The sequence below is a fragment of the Homo sapiens genome, chromosome 12 (assembly GCF_000001405.40).
Source record: "Homo sapiens chromosome 12, GRCh38.p14 Primary Assembly".
Taxonomy (NCBI): domain Eukaryota; kingdom Metazoa; phylum Chordata; class Mammalia; order Primates; family Hominidae; genus Homo; species Homo sapiens.
The window spans coordinates 95,894,294-95,913,762 of record NC_000012.12 but is presented as its reverse complement, the minus strand read 5'-3'; the positions used below and the strand labels follow the sequence as shown (position 1 = coordinate 95,913,762).

The 19,469-nt window shown below is 40.1% G+C and overlaps 1 protein-coding gene across 5 annotated transcripts in view, besides 2 other annotated features; it reads left to right on the top strand.

Moving 5' to 3' along the window:
- Window positions 1–19,469, top strand: part of CCDC38 (coiled-coil domain containing 38) — a 76,186-nt gene that overhangs the window by 29,471 nt on the left and 27,246 nt on the right. For 3 of the 5 annotated variants that reach the window (XM_011537883.3, NM_182496.3, XM_011537889.2), the window contains exons 5-8: window positions 7,312–7,376; window positions 15,032–15,195; window positions 15,298–15,378; window positions 18,617–18,774. In XM_011537883.3, the coding sequence (XP_011536185.1) occupies window positions 7,312–7,376; window positions 15,032–15,195; window positions 15,298–15,378; window positions 18,617–18,774 (468 nt within the window). Of the gene's footprint in view, window positions 1–7,311; window positions 7,377–15,031; window positions 15,196–15,297; window positions 15,379–16,373; window positions 17,341–18,616; window positions 18,775–19,469 lie in introns of those variants that run through there. The other 2 variants (XM_047428281.1, XM_011537888.4) reach the window with 2 other exon arrangements.
- Window positions 4,976–5,485: an enhancer, noted in NCBI's record as "H3K27ac-H3K4me1 hESC enhancer chr12:96302056-96302565 (GRCh37/hg19 assembly coordinates)". NCBI's record gives its function as "activates a minimal SCP1, AML or CMV promoter by ChIP-STARR-seq in naive H9 embryonic stem cells {active_cell/tissue: H9 hESC(naive)}" and the evidence as "EXISTENCE:reporter gene assay evidence [ECO:0000049][PMID:30033119]".
- Window positions 5,486–5,996: an enhancer, noted in NCBI's record as "H3K27ac-H3K4me1 hESC enhancer chr12:96301545-96302055 (GRCh37/hg19 assembly coordinates)". NCBI's record gives its function as "activates a minimal SCP1, AML or CMV promoter by ChIP-STARR-seq in naive H9 embryonic stem cells {active_cell/tissue: H9 hESC(naive)}" and the evidence as "EXISTENCE:reporter gene assay evidence [ECO:0000049][PMID:30033119]".

Sequence of the window (19,469 nt, the reverse complement as noted above, 5' to 3'; positions counted from 1 at the left end):
ATTAAATAATTACTCATCCCAATTGTATTGTTTAAATAATAGCCAGTAACAATTATTAAGAAGTTACTATGTGTTTTTGTAATATATTGCATCATTTTCCTCTCACAACACCATTACAAAGTAAAGTAGTGTATCTACCCGGGCTTACTTATGCTTTGGTAATAAATCACTCCTAAATTTCAGTGGCTTCCAATAACAGAGGTTTAATTATCCTTCACTTTCCAATGTGGGTGCTTTTCTCTGGGTCTTCTGCTGAAAGAATATTTCCTGTCTAGGATGTTGCTGGAGTTATAGCAAAGGGAGAAAGGAGAGAAACAGGTAGTGGTTCTCGAAGCTTCTTCCTGGAGGCAACATAAATCCCATCCGATCCCATTCCCATTCCCTGGGCTGAATCTGTCAATAGGCAAGTTTGACATCAACTTAGTGGGGAAAGAGAATCCTCTCACAGAGAGGGGCAGCAAATATTTGGGAACAATAACATAATCTGCCACAGGCAATATCCTCATTTCACAAATGAGGAAGCTGAGGCATGGAGAGAGGGTAATTTACTCATATTCCCACAGCTAGTAAGAGGTGAAGGTCAAAAGTGACCCAGGAAGATGTGGGCCTCCTAGGCAGCACAGGCTCACAGGTTACTTGGAAATATTGTTTCCTTTCTATTTCTATTTGCATTTTTTTTGCTTTTATTATTAACTTTTGAGACAGGGTCTCACTTTGTCACCCAGGCTGGAATGCATTGGTGTGATCATGACTCACTACAGCCTCGACCTCCTGGCTCAAGGGATCCTCCCACCTCAGCCTCCCCTCCCAAGTAGCTGGGACTACAGGCACACACGACCACGCCTGGCTAATTTTTGTATATTTTTGTAGAGACAAGCCTTCGCCATGTTGTCCAGGTTGGTCTCAAACTCCTGAGCTGAAGCGATCCACCTACCTCAGCCTCCCAAAGTGTTGGGATTACAGTCATGAGCCACTGCTGCTGGCCCTGCTTTTATTACTATTTTTAATTGACCCCATAATAATCATACATATTGATAGGGTATGGTGTGATGTTTCAATACATGTATACAATGTGCCATAATCAAATCGGAGTAATGAGCATATTCATCACCTCAAACATTTATCATTTATTTGTGTTGGGAACATTCAAAATCCATTCTTCTAGCTATTTGAAAATATGTAACAAACTATTGCTAACTATAGTCACCTTACAGCGCTACAGCACACTCAAACTTTTTCCTGCTGTCTAGCTGTACTTGTGTGTCTGTTAACCAACCTCTTCCTATCCCCCCACCCCCATCCTTCCCTGCTTCTAGTGACCACTATTCTACTCTCTACTTCTATGAGGTCAACTTTTTTAGCTTCCACGTAGGGATGAGTATTTAAATTCTTAAATTTTAGATTCAGGGGATACATGTGCAGGTTTGTTATGAGGGTATGTTGAATGATGCTGAGCTTTGGGCTTCTATTGATTGCATCACCAAAATAGTGAACATGGTACCCAATAGGAAGTTTTTCAACCCTTGCTCCTCTCCCTCCCTCCCTGCTTTAGGAGGCCTCAGTGTCTATTATTCCCATCTTTCTGTCCATGTGTACTCAATGTTTAGCTCCCACTTATAAGTGAGAACATGCAGTATTTGCTTTTCTGTTTCTGTGTTAATTCACTTAGGAGAATGACTTCCAGCTCTATCCATGTTGCTGCAAAGGACATTATTTTATTCTTTTTATGGCTGCATAGTATTCCATGGTATACATGCACCACATTTTCTTTAGCCAGTCCACTGTTGATGGGCATCTAGGTTGAGTCTCTGTATTTGCTGTGGTTAACATTGCTGTGATGAACATACAAGTGCATGTGTCTTTTTGACAGAACAATTTATTTTTGGGGAGGTAGGTACCCAGTAATGGGATTGCTGGGTTGGATGATAGTTCTATTTTTAGTTCTTTGAAAAACCTCCAAACTGCTTTCCACATGGGGCTGAATTAACAGTGTATTCCCATCAACAATGTATAAGCATTCCATTTTTCTCTGCAACCTAGTCATCTGTTATTTTTTGACTTTTTAATAATAGCCATTCTGACTGGTGTGAGACGGCATCTCATTGTGATTTTGATTTGCATTTCTCTGATGATTGGCAATGTCGGGCATTCTTTCCAGTTTATCGGATGTCACTTGTATGCCTTCTTTTGCCTACTTTTCAATGTGTTTTTTTCTTGTTAATTTGTTTAAGTTTCTTGTAGATTCTGGATATTAGGCCTTTGTCTTTGACAAAGGTTGCGAATATACATAGCTTGCAAATATTTTCTCCTATGCTATAGGTTGTCTGTTTAGTCTGTTGATAGTGTTTTTTGCTGCGCAGAAGCTCTTTAGTTAAATTAGGTGTGAATTGCCAATTTTTATTTTTGTTGCATTTGGTTTTGAGAACTTTTCCTAGGCCAATGTCTGGAAGAGTATGTCCCAGATTTTCTTTTGGGATTTCTTTTTATAGATGGAGGTCTTACATTTAAATCTTGAATCCCTCTTGAGTTAATTTTTGTATATGGTAAGATGAAGGGATCTAGTTTCATTCTTCTGCATATGGCTAGCCAGTTTTCCCTGCACCATTTATTGAAAAGGGGATCCTCTCCCCATTTTTTATTTTTGTCATCTTTGTTGACAATCAGTTGGTTGTATGTGTGCAGCTTTATTTCTCTGTTTTCTATTTTGTTCCATTGGTCTGTCTATTTTTGTACCAGTACCATGCTGTTTTTGTTACGGTAGCCTTGTAGTATAGTTTGAAATCAGGTAATATGATGAGTCCAACTTCGTTCTTTTTGCGTAGGATTGCTTTGGCTATTTGGGCTCTATTTTGGCTTCATGTAATTTTTATTTTATTTTTATGAATTATTTATTCATTTAGAGACAGTGTCTTACTCTGTCCCCCAGGCTGAAGTGCAGTAGCATGATCATAGCTCACTGTAACCTTGAACTTCTAAACTCAAGCAATCCTCCTGGCTTAGTCCTGTGAGAGGCTAGGACTATAGGCACGCACAACCATGCTCAACTAATTTTTTAATTTTTTTGTAAAGATGGGTTTCTTGCTGTGTTGCTCAGTCTGGTCTTGAACTCCTGGCCTCAAGCAATCCTCCCACCTTGGCCTTTCCAAGTTTTGGGATTACAGGCATGAGCCACCATGCCCAGCCTGAATTCTAGAATAGTTTTTTTCTAATTCTGTGAAAAGTGACATTGGTAGTTTGATAGGAATAGCATTGAATCTGTAAATTGCTTTCATAAGTGTGGACATTTTTAATGACATTGATTGTTCCAATCCATGAGCCTGGAATGTTTTTCAATTTGTTTGTGTCATCTATGAATTCTTTCAGCAGTGTTTTGTAATTCTCATTGTAGAGTTCTTACACCTCTTTGTTTACAAATATCCATAGGTATTTTGTGTGTGTGTGTGTGTGTGTGTGTGTGTGTAATGTAAATGGGATTGCATTCTTGATTTGGCTCTCAGCTCAAATGTTATTGATGTATACAAATGCTGTTGATTTTTGTACATTGATTTTGTATCCTGAAACTTTGCTGAAGTTGTTTGTCAGATCTAAGCCTCTTTTGGTGGAGTCTTTGGGGTTTTTTAGGTATCGAACCATATCATCAGTGAAGACAGATAATTTGACTTCCTCTTTTCCTATTTGGATGCTTTTGTTTCTTTCTCTTGCTGGATTGCCCTGGTTAAGACTTCCAGTATTATGTTGACTAGGAATGCTGAGAGTGCAAATCCTTGTCTTGTTCCAGTTCTTAGGGGAAATGCTTCTAACTTTTACCTGTTCCGTATGATGTTGGCTGTGAGTTTGTCATAGATGGCTGTTAGTATTTTGAGGTATGTTCCTTCGATGCCTAGTTTGTTGAGTGTATTTATCATAAGGGGATGTTGGATTTTATTGAATGCTTTTTCTGGGTCTATCAAGATGATCCTATGGTTTTGGGGTTTAATTCTGTTTATGTGGTGAATCACATTTATTGATTTGTGTATATTGAACAAACCTTGTATTCTAGGAGTAAAGCCCACTTGATTGTGGTGAATTAGCTTTTTGATGTGTTGTTGGATTCAGTTTGCTAGTGTTTTTTTGAGGATTTTCATGTCTATGTTCATCAAGGATAGTGGCCTGTAGTTTTCTTTTTTGTTGTGTCTTTGCCAGATTTTGATATCAGGATGATACCAAATTCATAGGATGAGTTAGGGAGGAATCCCTTCTCTTAGATTTTTTTGTAATAACTTCAGTAGGATTGGTACTAGCCTTTCTTTGTACCTCTGGTAGGAGTCGGCTGTGAATCCATCTGGTCCAGGGCTTTATTTGGTTTGGTAGGTTTTTTATTACTGATTCAATTTCAGAACTCATTATTAGTCTGTTCAGGGTTACAATTTCTTCCTGATTCAATCTTGGGAGATTGTGTGTTTCCAGGAATTTATCTATTTCCTCTAGATTTTCCAGTTTGTTTTCATAGAGGTGTTCATAATAGTCTCTGTGGATCTTTTGTATTTCTGTGGGATTGGCTATAATGTTACCTTTGTCATTTCTGAGTGTGCTTATTTGGATCTTCTCTCTTTTTTCTTTGTTAATCTAGCTAGTGGTCTGTCAATCTTGTTTTTCTTTCAAAGAACCAACTTTTTGTTTCATTGATTCTTTGTATGATTTTATTTTTTTGTCTCAATTTCATTTAGTTCTGCTCTGATTTTAGTTATTTCTTTTCTTCTGCTAGCTACAGTTACATTCTTATCAAGAGATTTTATTTTATGCCACATTCTGTTGGTTTTTATGAAGCAAACATTATTGAAATGTAGCATATGTATAAATTTCCAGAATGAAAAAAGCTTGAAAAGAAACATTTGGTATTTTCTATTGCTAGATGGTAAAACTAGTTGTCATCATTTCCTTTCCTGACAGAAGTTTGGTTTATGAGCCAAAAAAGATTTTGCCTAAGAGCTTTGGTATGTGTAGATTGGCCAAACATTAAGATTTAAAATACTTCAGTCTTACTTGGTACAGCACAAGCTTAGGTTAGTTGTGTGACCTTGGATAAGAATTTTGACAGCCCCCTCTCCCTCTCCCTCTCCCTCTCCTCCCTCTCCCTCTCCCTCTCCTCCCTCTCCCTCTCCCTCTCCCTCTCCCTCTCCCTCTCCCTCTCCCTCTCCCTCTCCCTCTCCCTCTCCCTCTCCCTCTCCCTCTCCCTCTCCCTCTCCCTCTCCCTCTCCCTCTCCCTCTCCCTCTCCCTCTCCCTCTCCCTCTCCCTCTCCCTCTCCCTCTCCCTCTCCCTCTCCCTCTCCCTCTCCCTCTTTCCACGGTCTCCCTCTGAAGCTGGACTGTACTGCTGCCATCTCAGCTCACTGCAACCTCCCTGCCTGATTCTCCTGCCTCAGCCTGCCGAGTGCCTGCGATTGCAGGCGCGCGCCGCCACGCCTGACTGGTTTTCCTATTTTTTGGGTGGAGACGGGGTTTCGCTGTGTTGGCCGGGCTGGTCTCCAGCTCCTAACCGCGAGTGATCCGCCAGCCTCGGCCTCCCGAGGTGCCGGGATTGCAGACGGAGTCTCCTTCACTCAGTGCTCAATGGTGCCCAGGCTGGAGTGCAGTGGCGTGATCTCGGCTCCCTACAACATCCACCTCCCGGCAGCCTGCCTTGGCCTCCCAAAGTGCCGAGATTGCAGCCTCTGCCCAGCCGCCACCCCATCTGGGAAGGCCGCCACCCCGTCTGGGAAGTGAGGAGCGTCTCTGCCTGGCCGCCCATCGTCTGGGATGTGAGGAGCCCCTCTGCCTGGCTGCCCAGTCTGGAAAGTGAGGAGCATCTCTGCCCAGCCGCCATCCCATCTAGGAAGTGAGAAGCGCCTCTTCCCGGCCGCCATCCCATCTAGGAAGTGAGGAGCGTCTCTGCCCGGCCACCCATCGTCTGAGATGTGGGGAGCGCCTCTGCCCTGTCGCCCCGTCCGGGATGTGAGGAGCGTCTCTGCCTGGCCACCTCGTCTGAGAAGTGAGGAGACCCTCTGCCTGGCAACCGCCCTGTCTGAGAAGTGAGGAGCCCCTCCGCCCAGCAGCCGCCCCGTCTGAGAAGTGAGGAGCCCCTCTGCCCGGCAGCCACCCCGTCTGGGAAGTGAGGAGCGTCTCCGCCCGGCAGCCACCCGTCCGGGAGGGAGGTGGGGGTGTCAGTCCCCCGCCTGGCCAGCCGCCTCGTCCGGGAGGTGAGGGGCGCCTCTGCCCGGCCGCCCCTACTGGGAAGTGAGGAGCCCCTCTGCCCGGCCAGCCGCCCCATCCGGGAGGGAGGTGGGGGGGTCAGCCCCCTGCCCGGCCAGCCGCCCCGTCCGGGAGGTGAGGGGCGCCTCTGCCCGGCCGCCCCTACTGGGAAGTGAGGAGCCCCTCTGCCCGGCCACCACCCCGTCTGGGAGGTGTACCCAACAGCTCATTGAGAACGGGCCATGATGACAATGGCAGTTTTGTGGAATAGAAAGGGGGGAAAGGTGGGGAAAAGATTGAGAAATCGGATGGTTGCCGTGTCTGTGTAGAAAGAGGTAGACATGGGAGACTTTTCATTTTGTTCTGTACTAAGAAAAATTCTTCTGCCTTGGGATCCTGTTGATCTGTGACCTTACCCCCAACCCTGTGCTCTCTGAAACATGTGCTGTGTCCACTCAGGGTTAAATGGATTAAGGACGGTGCAAGATGTGCTTTGTTAAACAGACGCTTGAAGGCAGCATGCTCGTTAAGAGTCATCACCACTCCCTAATCTCAAGTACCCAGGGACACAAACGCTGCGGAAGGCCGCAGGGTCCTCTGCCTAGGAAAACCAGAGACCTTTGTTCACTTGTTTATCTGCTGACCTTCCCTCCACTATTGTCCTGTGACCCTGCCAAATCCCCCTCTGCGAGAAACACCCAAGAATGATCAATAAAAAACAAACAAATAAATAAATAAATAAATAAATAAATAAAAAGAAATCTTGATTGGAAAAAAAAAAAAAAGAATTTTGACAGCTCTACACTTCAGGACCTCATAGACAGGATGGGGATAGTAGTAAGTACCTTATTCAGGTTGTTGTTAGGATTAAATGATGTGCTTAAAGTGGCTAATGAGGTTTCTGGAATATGATAGACATAAAATAAATTGTAATTACTATTACTAAATTAGTTTGAGTGGCTAGGAAAAGGTTTATTTCAAGATATAGTATTTTTAAAAGATCAGATACATACTGTAGAATAATTTAATTATATGGCTTTTATTTTATACAGCATTTTTAAGGATGATGAACTAAACTTAAGTCTATTTCAACTTTCTTCACAGGTTCCGACACAAAAAGGACTGTCCATGAATTTATTAATGACCAGAGAGACAGGTTTCTGCTCGAGGTAGTAAAAATAACTTTTCTCCCCTAGCCAAGTGGAAGACTTCTTTCATAGTGTTTTCAAATATTTACCTTGACATTTTGCTTGTCTATTACATGTCCCAAATCTATTGGTTGAACAGGTTGGTTTTTTCACGTGTTCATTAATTTGAAAAATACTTACGGAGAGTTTACTATGTGCCAAGCAGTAAACAAAGCAAAGACCTGCCTCTCAAAGGATTTACATTCTAATATCCCAGACAAGGTTTTATACTTCCTGGAACCTATCAGAAAAATTATTCTAGAAAATGTCTGGTTCTAGTTTGTCCCTTTTTCTCCAATTATCTCTTCTATGACCAGGATAGTGCCTGAGATGCCCTATTTAATGCAGCTTCTCCTGATGCTTTGGCTGAAGATGGTGGGAATCCAAGCACTCTGGAAATTCAGACAATTCTAGAATCCCTCCAGCTTCCTTGATACCTATTCATGTCAGAACAGTGTGCCAGGTCCCTTATGGAGTCTTTTATAAAAAATAATAGAGGCTTTTTTTCCTGCCATCAAAAACTTTAGCTAGATGCCAGGCATATAACTGAAAACATGATTATTTGCTATGTCTATATGCATATTCATTTGCCATAGATAAAGCAGAGATGCCAAGCACTTAATGGGAAAATAATTACAAAATGAATGAATTGAACATTTTTATACCTTTATTGTCAAGTATCTAATAATCTAAAGATGTTGATGTGTCTCAATTAAACTCTTTGATGCTAATGAGTAAATAACAATGTACTTGACTTTTCCTAATTTCACATCACACATTTTGGGGCATAAATTTAGTTAGTTAGTACTTCCATACGCTGCCAGCTGCAATCAACATAAAATATCTCACTTAAAGTAACTGATAAAGTTATAAATAGAACCTGATGGCTTTGTTTGTTAAAAAGCATTTCCTGGGTGTGAGTTTGATCTTTATTATAAAGTCCTACTGACATAACTGATGTCCTAGGTAGTTTAAGGTGGTGCTTGACAGATACACTAGGATTTCAGGACATTTATATTAAATATACCTCATTTCCTTTCTTTACTATATCCCTCCCTCCCTCAACCAGTTTGGTGAAGTGTCCACTTATCAAAAAGACTTGTACAGTCTACCCTCTGTATCCACAGGTTCAGCATCTGAGAATTTAACAAACTGCAGATCAAAAATATTCAGAAAAAATGATAAAAAATAACAACAAAATAATACAAATTTTGAAAAATTATAAAGTATAACAACTATTTATATATAGCATTTACATTGGTATTAGGTACTATAATTAATCTACAGATTATTTAAAGTATATGGGAGAATGTACATGGTTATATGCAAATACTATTCCATTTTACATAAGCGACTTGAGCATCCACAAAGTTTGGTGTCCTTGGGGATCCTGGAGCCAATCTCCTGTTGATGCCAAGGAACAACTATTTGTAGTAAAAAATCTGGCCTTGTCCAGAAAGAGTCTGGCCTTTGCTCTTGACTTCCGGGTGGTAATCTATATCATACTTAATCAGGCTGTCTTTCTTTAATATAGAACTGGTCACATCTGACAGTCTTAGGGTGGAGGCTGCCCATCCCAGAAATATTAACAATGGGACTTAGAGGTGGGGCTTTGGGTCACACTCAGAGGGTCTGGAGACTGGAGACAGATCAACCACATGGTCAATCAATTAATCATGCCTAGTTAATGAAGCCCCAGTGAAAACTCTAGACACTGAAGCTCATTTCTGCTTCCCTTGTTGACAATATTCTCTGTGCGTTGTCACATGTAGATGCAGGGAGGATAACACCTCCTAGTTCCATGGGGAGGGAACACTGGAAGCTTTGCATTTAGAACTTACTCAGGCTCTGCCTTATGGGTCTCTTCCTTTGGATGATTTCAATGCATATTCTTTCCTTTTAATAAACTATACCCATGAGTATAATAGCTTTCAGTGAGTTTGTGAGTCCTTCCAGAAAATTATCAAAACTGACGGTATTTGGGGGAACCCCTCAAACTTGCGGTCAGTGTCAGAAGTGAGAGCAGTCTTGGGGACTATGATATGAAATTTTCAATTTGGCTAACTCTGGGTAACTTGTAATAGTTTTCAAAAACTGAAGTGGCTTCATGGCATCTTTATTTTTTTATTTATAGCAGAGTTGGGACATGAAATACCCATTTAAAAATTATTAACATTGACATATTATGAATTTAATATTATAAACACTTTATGCCAATAAATTTGACAACTTAGATGAAATAGATTCCTTGAAAGATGCAAACTACCAAAGCCTACCCAAGAAGAAAGAAATAAATGGTAGCTTTATGTCTCTTAAAGAAATTGAACTTACAGGTAAAAAACTTCTCACAAAGAAAAACCCAGATTTATTGGTTAATTCTGCCAAATATTTAAAGAAGAAATAAATTTAATTTTATACACACTGTTCCAAAAAAATGAGTAAGAAGAGGGAATACCTCACAACTCATGCTGTGAAGCCAGCATTACCCTCATATCAAAACTAGATAAAATGATTAGAAGACAAGAAAGCTAAAGACCAAGATCTCTCGTAAGCAAATATGCAAACATTCTGAACAAAATGTAACAAACCAAATCCAATAATACTAAAAAGATAATACATTATGACAAATTAGGGTTTAATCTAAGAATACAAAAGTAATTTAACATTTAAAAATAAATCAATGTAATACACATTAACAAATTAAAAATGAAAACCCATATGATTATCCCAATTGATGCAGAAAAACCACTCAACAATATCCAAAATTCATTCTTGATGGAGACTCTCAGCAAAGTAGGAACAGAAGAGAAGTTCCTCAACTTTATAAAAGGACATCTACTAGAAACTTATCACTAACATTACATATCTAATGGTAAAAGACTGAATGCTTTCCCCCTAAGATTAGGAACAAGGCAAGGATTTCCACTGCACCACTTCTTTTTGTCAGTGTTCTGGAGGTCCTAGCTAGTGCAATAAGACAAGAAAAAAAAATGAAAGACATTTAGATTGGAAATGAAGAATTAAAGCTGTCTTTATTTACAGACAACACGATCCTCTCTGCAGAAAATCTGAAGAAATCTATTTTAAAACTACCATAACCTATGAGTTTAGCAAGGTTGTAGCAAGGTCAATTTACAGAAATCAATTGTATTTTTATAAACTTGTAATGAAGAATTAAGAAACTAAAATTTAAAAAGCAATGCCATGTCCAACAGCATCAAAATATGAAATAATTCTAGATATGTTTGTAAAATATGTACAATAGATGTACACTGAAAACTACAAGACATTGCAGAGAAAAATTAAAGACCTAAATAAATGGAGAGTGATACCATGTTCATTGATCCAAAGACTCAATATTGCTGAGATGCCAAATCTTTCCAGATTGGTTTATAGATTAAATAATTTATTTAATCTATAAATGCAATCTCAGTACAAATCCCAGGCGTCTTTCTTGTAGAAATTGAAAGGCTGATTCTAAATTTTTTATGGAAATGCAAAGGACCTAGTTTCAAGAGCTATGAAGGATCTAAAATGCTATCCTACTTGCAAGCTAAGAAGTTAGTCTGCTGCAGTTTCATAGTTTCAATAGAAGACACCAGACTCCTGGGTCAGAAATAAAGAACAGTTTCTTATTTATAGCCATTCCACTCCTGGGAATTTATCCAAGAAAAATAAAAGCATATGTGCTCATAGCAACCTTATTTGAAGTAGCCCAATGTAGGAAACAAGCAAAATGTCCATGAACAGGTAAATGGGTAACCAAACTGGGGTATATCAACATAACTGATTACTACTCAGCAATAAAAAGGAATTAGTTATGGATATTCTACCAACATGGATGACTCTTAAAATAGTTGTACTAAGTTTATAAATCCAGACAGAAAAATAGTTCATACTATAATTTCACTAGATAAAATTCTAGAAAATGCAAGTTCGTCTATAGTGACAGAAGACAGGTCAGTAATTGCCTGGGAAAGGAGGTGGGGAGGAGGGAAGAAGGGATGGATTACAAAGGGCTTGAGTAGACTTTTTGAGGTGATGAATATGTTCATTGTTTTGATTGTGGTGATGATTTCCCAAGTATATACATATGTCAAAACTTAACAGATTGTATACTTTAAAAATGTGGAGTTTATTGGATAGTTATACCTCAATTAAACTAGAAAAAAATTATGAAAATGATTCTACAATTACTGATCTTTTCTAATTATTATTTTTCCCTCTCTGCTGGATTATTGCCACCAACATACAAACATCCTATTATTTACCCCATCTTTTAAAACAACCCCACCCCAAAAACCCTCTTTAGATATCAGTTTGGCTAACTCTGGGTAACTTGTAATAGTTTTCAAAAACTGAAGTGGTTTCATGGCATCTTTATTTTTTTATTTATAGCAGAGTTGGGACCCTCTTTAGATATCACATTACATACCATCTTCTGCCCCAATTTTCTGCTCTCCTTTATAGCAAAATTTTTCAAAAGCATTATACTTATTTCCTGCCTCCACTTCTTCTCTCCCTATTCTCTGCTAAATCCACTTCCATCAGGGTTTTGTCCTTATCATTCACCAAAACGACTTTTGTCAAAGTTACCAGAGACTTCTCTGTTGCTAAATCAAATTGTCACAGTATTCCTTTTATTTAACACTTGGCCTTTCAGCAGCAATTGGTCTATTCACACCTTTTTTGAAATACTATCTTCTGTGGGTTTCTGGGAGCCACTCTCTCGACTCTTCCACCTTGCTAACTGCTGCTGCTTCTCAGTTTTATGTGCTTGTTCTCCTCTTCTCCCTGATCTTCAAGTGTTGGAATGTCCAGGGCCCATTCCTTACCCTTTGCTCTGTCTACCCTCCTTCAGGCTCATGTCTTCGAATTCCACCTCCATATTAACAACTTCCAAATTTATTTCTCTAGCTTGATCTTCTTCCCTGAACTCCAGGCTCACAGATGCAACTGTAATTCTTAACATTTCCCATCGAGATGTTCAATAACCATTTCAGACTTCATGTTTCCTAAACTCCGCCCCTAATATACTCTTTCCTACCCCTGCAAGTCTGTATCTCATACCATAGTCCCTGGCTCACTAAATAGCAATTCCATTTTTCCACTTGCTTAGACCAAAAATATTGGGGTTATCCTTGACTCCTTTTTACAATCCACATCCAAACAGATCTTCAAAAATATTCTTTTTCAAAATATATCCATAATCAGACTACTGTTCATGACCTCCACAGCTACTACTGCAGTCCAAGCCACCAACATCTCTAGCATGTATTAGGGTTATAACTTCTAAACCTGGGTCTCCTGCTTCTACTGTTGCTCCCCTGCAGTCTGTCTGTTCTCCATACAGTGATAGGATCATGCCCTTCCTCTGCCAAAGGCCTCTAGCGACTTGATCTGGTCCCCAGCTTACTCTCTGACCTCACTCCTATCACTCTTTCTCTTGTCCCAAAAGACAACGATCCAAAATGCCATAATCCCAAACACTGAAATCCTGAAAGATCAAAATCTCAAAAATATAGTTCTGGAAAATGTAAACTTAAAACATTTTTAAAAGATATTTATTTATTTATTTACATTTTTAAAGGGGGATTTTTTTGAGAACATATAACAACATGACAGACCACCTGTTAAGCCACTTTGCACAATGAAGTAGGCAATAACAGCAACATATGTATTTTTGCCAGTACAAATACTCAGGCATTCTAATGACAATTGCACAGGTGTAACCATTATGAGCAGACTAACTATATGCAGAAAGAAATAGATCCAAAAGCAAAATGTATAAATGAATATTGCTATGGTTGGTAATTTGTGCACCCAGCTTTACAACTGCAGTCATCAAATAAACTTTATCAATAACACGTTGAAATTTTTTTAGAAGTCTTTGATCACCCCTAATTCCAAATCTGTCATTATGTCAACATATTGTTTGGAGACTCAACTGAAATCCGTTTTCGTCTGAATAAAGACGATAACAAGGTAATAGTTTTGTCTAACATGATGCCACTATCCTGTGATTTTGATTTTCAGGATTTTAGACATTAGGGATTTTAGAATTTTGATCTTTCGGGATTTTGACATTTGGGATTATGGCATTCAGTATTGTGTATTAGGGATTATGATTCAAACCCTTTCTCTTGCTCACTCTGCTCCAGCCTTGGTGGTCTCTTTGCTGTTCCTGGGACACACCAATCACTCTCTTGTCTCCAGGCTGATGCACTGGAGGCTCTTCCTTATATTAGGCTGGTGCAAAAACAACTGTGGTTTTTGCTATTTCAATGGCAAAAACCACAATTACTTTTTCACCAACCTAATAGGAGGAACATTCCTCCCTCAGAAATCCTCATGATTGGTTTCCTACTTCCTTCCAGTCTCTGTTTAATTCTCACCACATCAGGGAGACTTTCCTTGGCTGTTCTATACATGATAGCAACCCCCTGCCCTTGTCCACAGCACCCCATCCCGCTTTCATCAGCTTCCTTCCTCTTCTAGAATGGACACTCCATACAAGCATTTATGTTTCTTTGGTTCATCACTCTATTTACACCCCTTAAAACAGTCCTGGCACACAGTAGGCACTCAGTAAGTACTTGCGGAATAAAGTAATGAATGAAGCATTTTTTGCTATAAACTTGGAGGGTCTAATTATTGGTTGTTATCTCTTTAAAATCATCTCATTTCCATATTTTCAATTCATTTATATTATGTATGTGGCCTTATTTATGATTTAATTTTTTCCTGCATGGTATTAAAAACCCAAATAGGTCTGGGTGTGGTGGCTCACGCCTGTAATCCCAGCACTTTGGGAGGCCAAGGCAGGTGGATTGCTTGAGCTCAGGAGTTTGAGACCAGCCTGGCTGACATGGCAAAAACCATCTCTACTAAAAATACAAAAATGAGCTGGGCATGGTGGTGTGCACCTATATAGTCCCAGCTACTTGAGTGGCTGAGGTGGGAAGATTGCTTGAGCCTGGGTGGTCAAAGCTGCAGTGAGCCAAGATCACCCCACTGCACTCCAGCCTGGGTGACAGAGCAAGACCTTGTCTCAAAAACAAAACAAAACAAAAATCACCACATGGACTTTTATATTCTGTACTAAAAAAATAGAAGGAACTAGAAGGCAGATGTCAAAGTTGTGTTTGGGGATCTAAACAGGCCTCTTTGATTACAGTTAGATGTGGTACCCTTGGGCTGGCTCCCAGGAATGCATCACTGGCATGGCAGAGTTGAAACTGCTTTCTCCCATGGTCTTCCTATTGGAGGAGAAGCTGGTAGCTTTTGTGACTGCAGACAACCCAGTTTCCCAATTCCCAGAAAGTACTGGAGGGTAATACACTGTAGGTAATACCAGATGCACCTGCTCTTTGGAGGAATATGCAGCTATTTTTTATTTGTAGGGCAGAGCCCTTTTGGAACAACACTGACCCTCTTCATAGAAGTAAGGGAGGGAAATTAGTCTCCCCTCTAATTATCCCTGAAAATAAAACTCCTTCAAGAAATAAAGTCCATTGCTCCAAGATTTAGGCGTACTATTATTTCTAATACAAATGTTCACTTGCTGTGTATAAGACTGTTGAAATTACTAAAAATGTGGAATCATGTTTTTACACCTCTGTCTTCAATGCCCCTAGTATGCTTTGTCAACCAAAAGAAACACAATCAAAAAGTTTGAAAAAGACATAGCAATGAGGGAACGGCAACTAAAAAAAGCAGAGAAAAAGCTCCAAGATGATGCACTGGCCTTTGAAGAGTTCCTTCGAGAAAATGACCAGAGATCTGTAGACGCTCTGAAAATGTTTGTTTCATCACTCTGGCCAAATCCTTCCCACCTCTTTTGTTTGTTTGTTTGTTTGTTTGTTTCTAAGAAGCAAATTAACAGATCTTCATTGCTTTTCAGGGCAGCACAGGAAACAATAAACAAACTCCAAATGACAGCAGAGCTGAAGAAAGCAAGCATGGAGGTACAAGCAGTGAAAAGGTGAGGGTGGGCACAATCTTCTCGTGGCCAAATTTCCACGACCCATTAAAACCTATTCATGCCAGGTAAGACCTAATAATCCTGATCATCCTTATCAGTTGATGATGTCATAAGTATGAACGAATTTTAAAAAATAAGTAACCTGTCCATCAAGATTTGTTCCTGCCTGGGTATCAGGACAGTATGTGGCTTCCGGTTGGAAAGTCTCTCTAACTTGTAGATACAGAAGCAAAGAAGTTAGATGAAGCAAAACAATTAGGAATAAACAATAAATTATTATCTAAGTGCCCTTCCTCATTCATTCATTTTTTTCTTTTTATATTTTTAGTTTAGTCTGGTTGCACTTTTGCATTCATTCTGAGACATTTTTTCCCCCACATTTTAACATCTCTGAAATTGGGACTCATTCTACGATCATCTTACAGTCATCATGGGCAGTATTTTTTATATTTACGCTTACATAGTGGAAACTAGTATTGCTATTAAAAACTAAGATCTGCTGGGCACACTGCTTGCCTCTCAGCTCCTTTGGAAGCTGAGGCGGGAGGATCGCTTGAGCCCAGGAGTTCAAGTGAAGTCTTAGCAACACAGTGGGACCCCATCTTTAGTAAAAATAAATAAAAATAAAAAACTAAGATCTATAAAGAGAAAAAAGCATTGGAGCAGGAGTTGGGATAAAATTGTACCATCTGCCACTCTTTTTCAAACTTGGATGTTTCCTTCTATGGTCAAGGAAACTCACTTGAACTAATTTTTTTTTTTTTTTTTTTTTTTGAGAGGGAGTTTCACTTTTGTTGCCCAAGCTGGAGTGCAATGGCATGATCTCGGCTCACTGAAACCTCCACCTCCTAGGTTCAAGCGATTCTCCTGCCTCAGCCACTTGAGTAGCTGGGATTACAGGTGCCCACCTCCACGCTTGGCTCATTTTTTGTATTTTTGGTAGAAATGGGGTTTCACCACGTTAGCCAAGCTAGTCTCAAACTCCTGACCTCAGACAATCCACCCACCTCAGCCTCCCAAAGTGCTGGGATTACAGGCGTGAGTCACCGCGCCCGGCCTAACTAATTTTAAGTAGCTAAAGAAGCTTCCTTCTGTCATCATTTTTGGACAGTAATTTCATGATTCAGAATACACTGTAGTGTTGGTATCAGGTCAATGCTAAAACTTACTTTTCCTTTTTGAGAACTTGATGCTTACCTCCCCTCTAGAACTAGGTCCTAGGCTTCTTACATCCTTCAGACAAGCGAGTCTGAAATAAAGCAGAGTTGGTTTCTCTGAAACCAACTGCACTAACAGAATGTGCATTTCATATTCTGGCTACAGCAGGCTCTTCTATTTTAGGAGCCTAAAGCTGAAGCTGCTCCAAGATGGAGAATTTCCTTCTCTCTTTCACCCCCGATGCAATTAGAAGTTTCTATCCATTTATAGATTATTTCTAGAGCTAGAGTAGCAGCCTCTATTTTTGTGCAAAGTATTGCATTTATGCACAATAGCCGCCGAGTTGAGCCCTCCAAATGGTCTTGCTGAAGATAACTTGATCGTTGATGTATCACATCATCTAGAAAGGTGCAGGAGATCATGAAAAACAAGCCTGTAGTGGAGCAAGGGCAGCAGGTGCTCTTCTCTCTTTATGGCTCGAGATGGCCCCAGGAGGCCTCCTCTACGGGTAGGGCTGGAAAGGGAAGGGGGCATCTTCTGAAGCTTTTGCTTGGAAACTGTATCTTTCCAGCCAATTGTCACCTCGTGTTCTTTGTAGCATATCTGGGAGGATTTCAATCTAAAACGGAGGCAGCAGTAGAATGAAGGTCTCCCATCAATCTTCCAACTGGTGATACGTGAAGCAGCCATTTACTGACCCTTGAATATCACTCTTGCACCAGGGCTGAAGGAAGGCTCTGACAGATAGAAGTATTAAAGCTGAAAACATTGATACAAAGTAATATTGATATCTTTCAGATAAAGGTTTGGAAGCTCCCTTTCAAGTGGGCCTTCTTTTGTTATTTTAACATCCCTCTTTGTCCACTTTGTAATGTAATTACTATAACGCAATGTGAAGCTGGGCAAAAGCTTTTGGTCCAAGTCACTCAATATTGGCAAGAGCTTGGGCATCTGAGTCAGATGGACCTAGGTTTGAGTGCTGGCTCTACCATTTACATCTCCTTTCCAAGATAAGAATAATAGTACCTATTTTAAAGTGCTGTCCTGAGGATCAGCCTATGTCTGTAGTGTGTCCTGCCTGTAGTAATAGGTCCTCATTAAGTGTTAGTTTCTTTCTTTTCCTTACAAATGTACCATCTTTTGCTACTTTCTTTTTTTTTTTTTTTTTTTTGAGACAGAGTCTTGTTCTGTCGCCCAGGCTGGAGTGCAGTGACGTGATCTCAGCTCACTGCAACCTCTACCTCCCAGGTTCAAGTGATTCTCCTGCCTCAGCCTCTTGAGTAGCTGGGATTACAGGCATGCGCCACCACGCCTGGCTAATTTTTGTATTCTTAGTAGAGACAGGGTTTCACCATGTTGGCCAAGCTGGTCTTGAACCCTTGACCTCATGATCTGCCCTCCTTGGCCTCCCAAAGTCCTGGGATTACAGGGGTGAGCCACCATGCCCGGCTTTTTTTTTTTTTTTTTTTTTTCGAGACAGAGTTTTGCTCTTGTTGCCCAGGCTAGAGTGCAATGGCACGATCTCGGCCCACTGCAACCTCTGCCATCCGGGTTCAAGCGATTCTCCTGCCTCAGCCTCCCAAGTAGCTGGGATTACAGGCGCCCACCACCATACCTGGCTAGTTTTTTCTATTTTTAGTAAAGACGGGTTTTCTCCATGTTGGCCAGGCTGGTCTTGAACTCCTGACCTCAGGTGATCTGCCTGCCTTGGCCTCCCAAAGTGCTGGGATTACACGTGTGAGCCACTGCACCCGGCCCTTTTGCTACCTTCTAATTTCTCCCTATATCTAAAACTTAATACAGTGTTTCCTACAGAATAATAAACAAGTCGAGTAAAACTATCATGTCTATTCTATGTGTGCATATCCTTGGACATGTTTTATTTAAACAGCATTCCTAGAGTTTTCCTTCATCTCATTTCATATTCACTGAAGCCCATATTTTTATGGCCATATTTATCCTTTTTGATAATTAAATTATTAATTCAGTACATAAGAGAAACAATTTTATAAAAATTTTTTTCTAATGAATGTGCTTTCACACTGATATACCTAATCATATCTTTGTTTCTTTTGAGTAGTGAAATAGCAAAAACAGAATTCCTCCTCAGGGAGTATATGAAATATGGTTTTTTTCTGCTGCAAATGTCTCCAAAACATTGGCAAATCCAGCAAGCACTAAAAAGAGCACAGGCATCAAAAAGTAAAGCAAATATCATCCTTCCAAAAATATTAGCAAGTAAGTTACTTATACTCAACTTTCATGAACTAAATATCCCTAACTCTAAAATCATCTGCTTCAATGTTTTTTATCTAAATAGATATTTTTTTAAGCAGGATCTAAACTAAGATTTTCACTATCTCTGTTATTGTATATCATTAATTTGGAAACTTGAGCTAATTTCAGATATAAAGTGTCTTTGCCTATTTATGTTGCTGTAGAGGAATACTTAAGGCTGGGCAATTTATAAAGAAAAGAGGTTTATTTGGCTCACAGTTCTGCTGGCTGCACAAGAAGTGTGGTGCCAGTGTTTATTTCTGGTGGGGGCTTCAGGCTGCTTCCACTCATGGCAGAAGGGAAACATGTGTACAGAGACCACATGGTGCAAGGAGAAGCAACGGGGAGGGGAAGCAGGTGCCAGGCTCTTTTCAACAAGGAGCTCTTGTGGAAACTAAGAGAGTAAGAACTCACTCATTCCTATGAGGATTGCAACAAGCCATTCATAAGGAGTCTACCCCCATGACCTAAGCATCTTTCACTAAGCCCCACCTCTGACATTGGGGACCAAATTCCAACATGAGATTTGGAGTGTAGCATAAAGCAATAAAAATATATGCATGGGGAAAGAGAAAATATATTATTTGCAACTGATATGGTAGCCATACCTAGAAATCCCCTCTAAAAACCTGAGAGACTGTTTGATTTTATTAAAG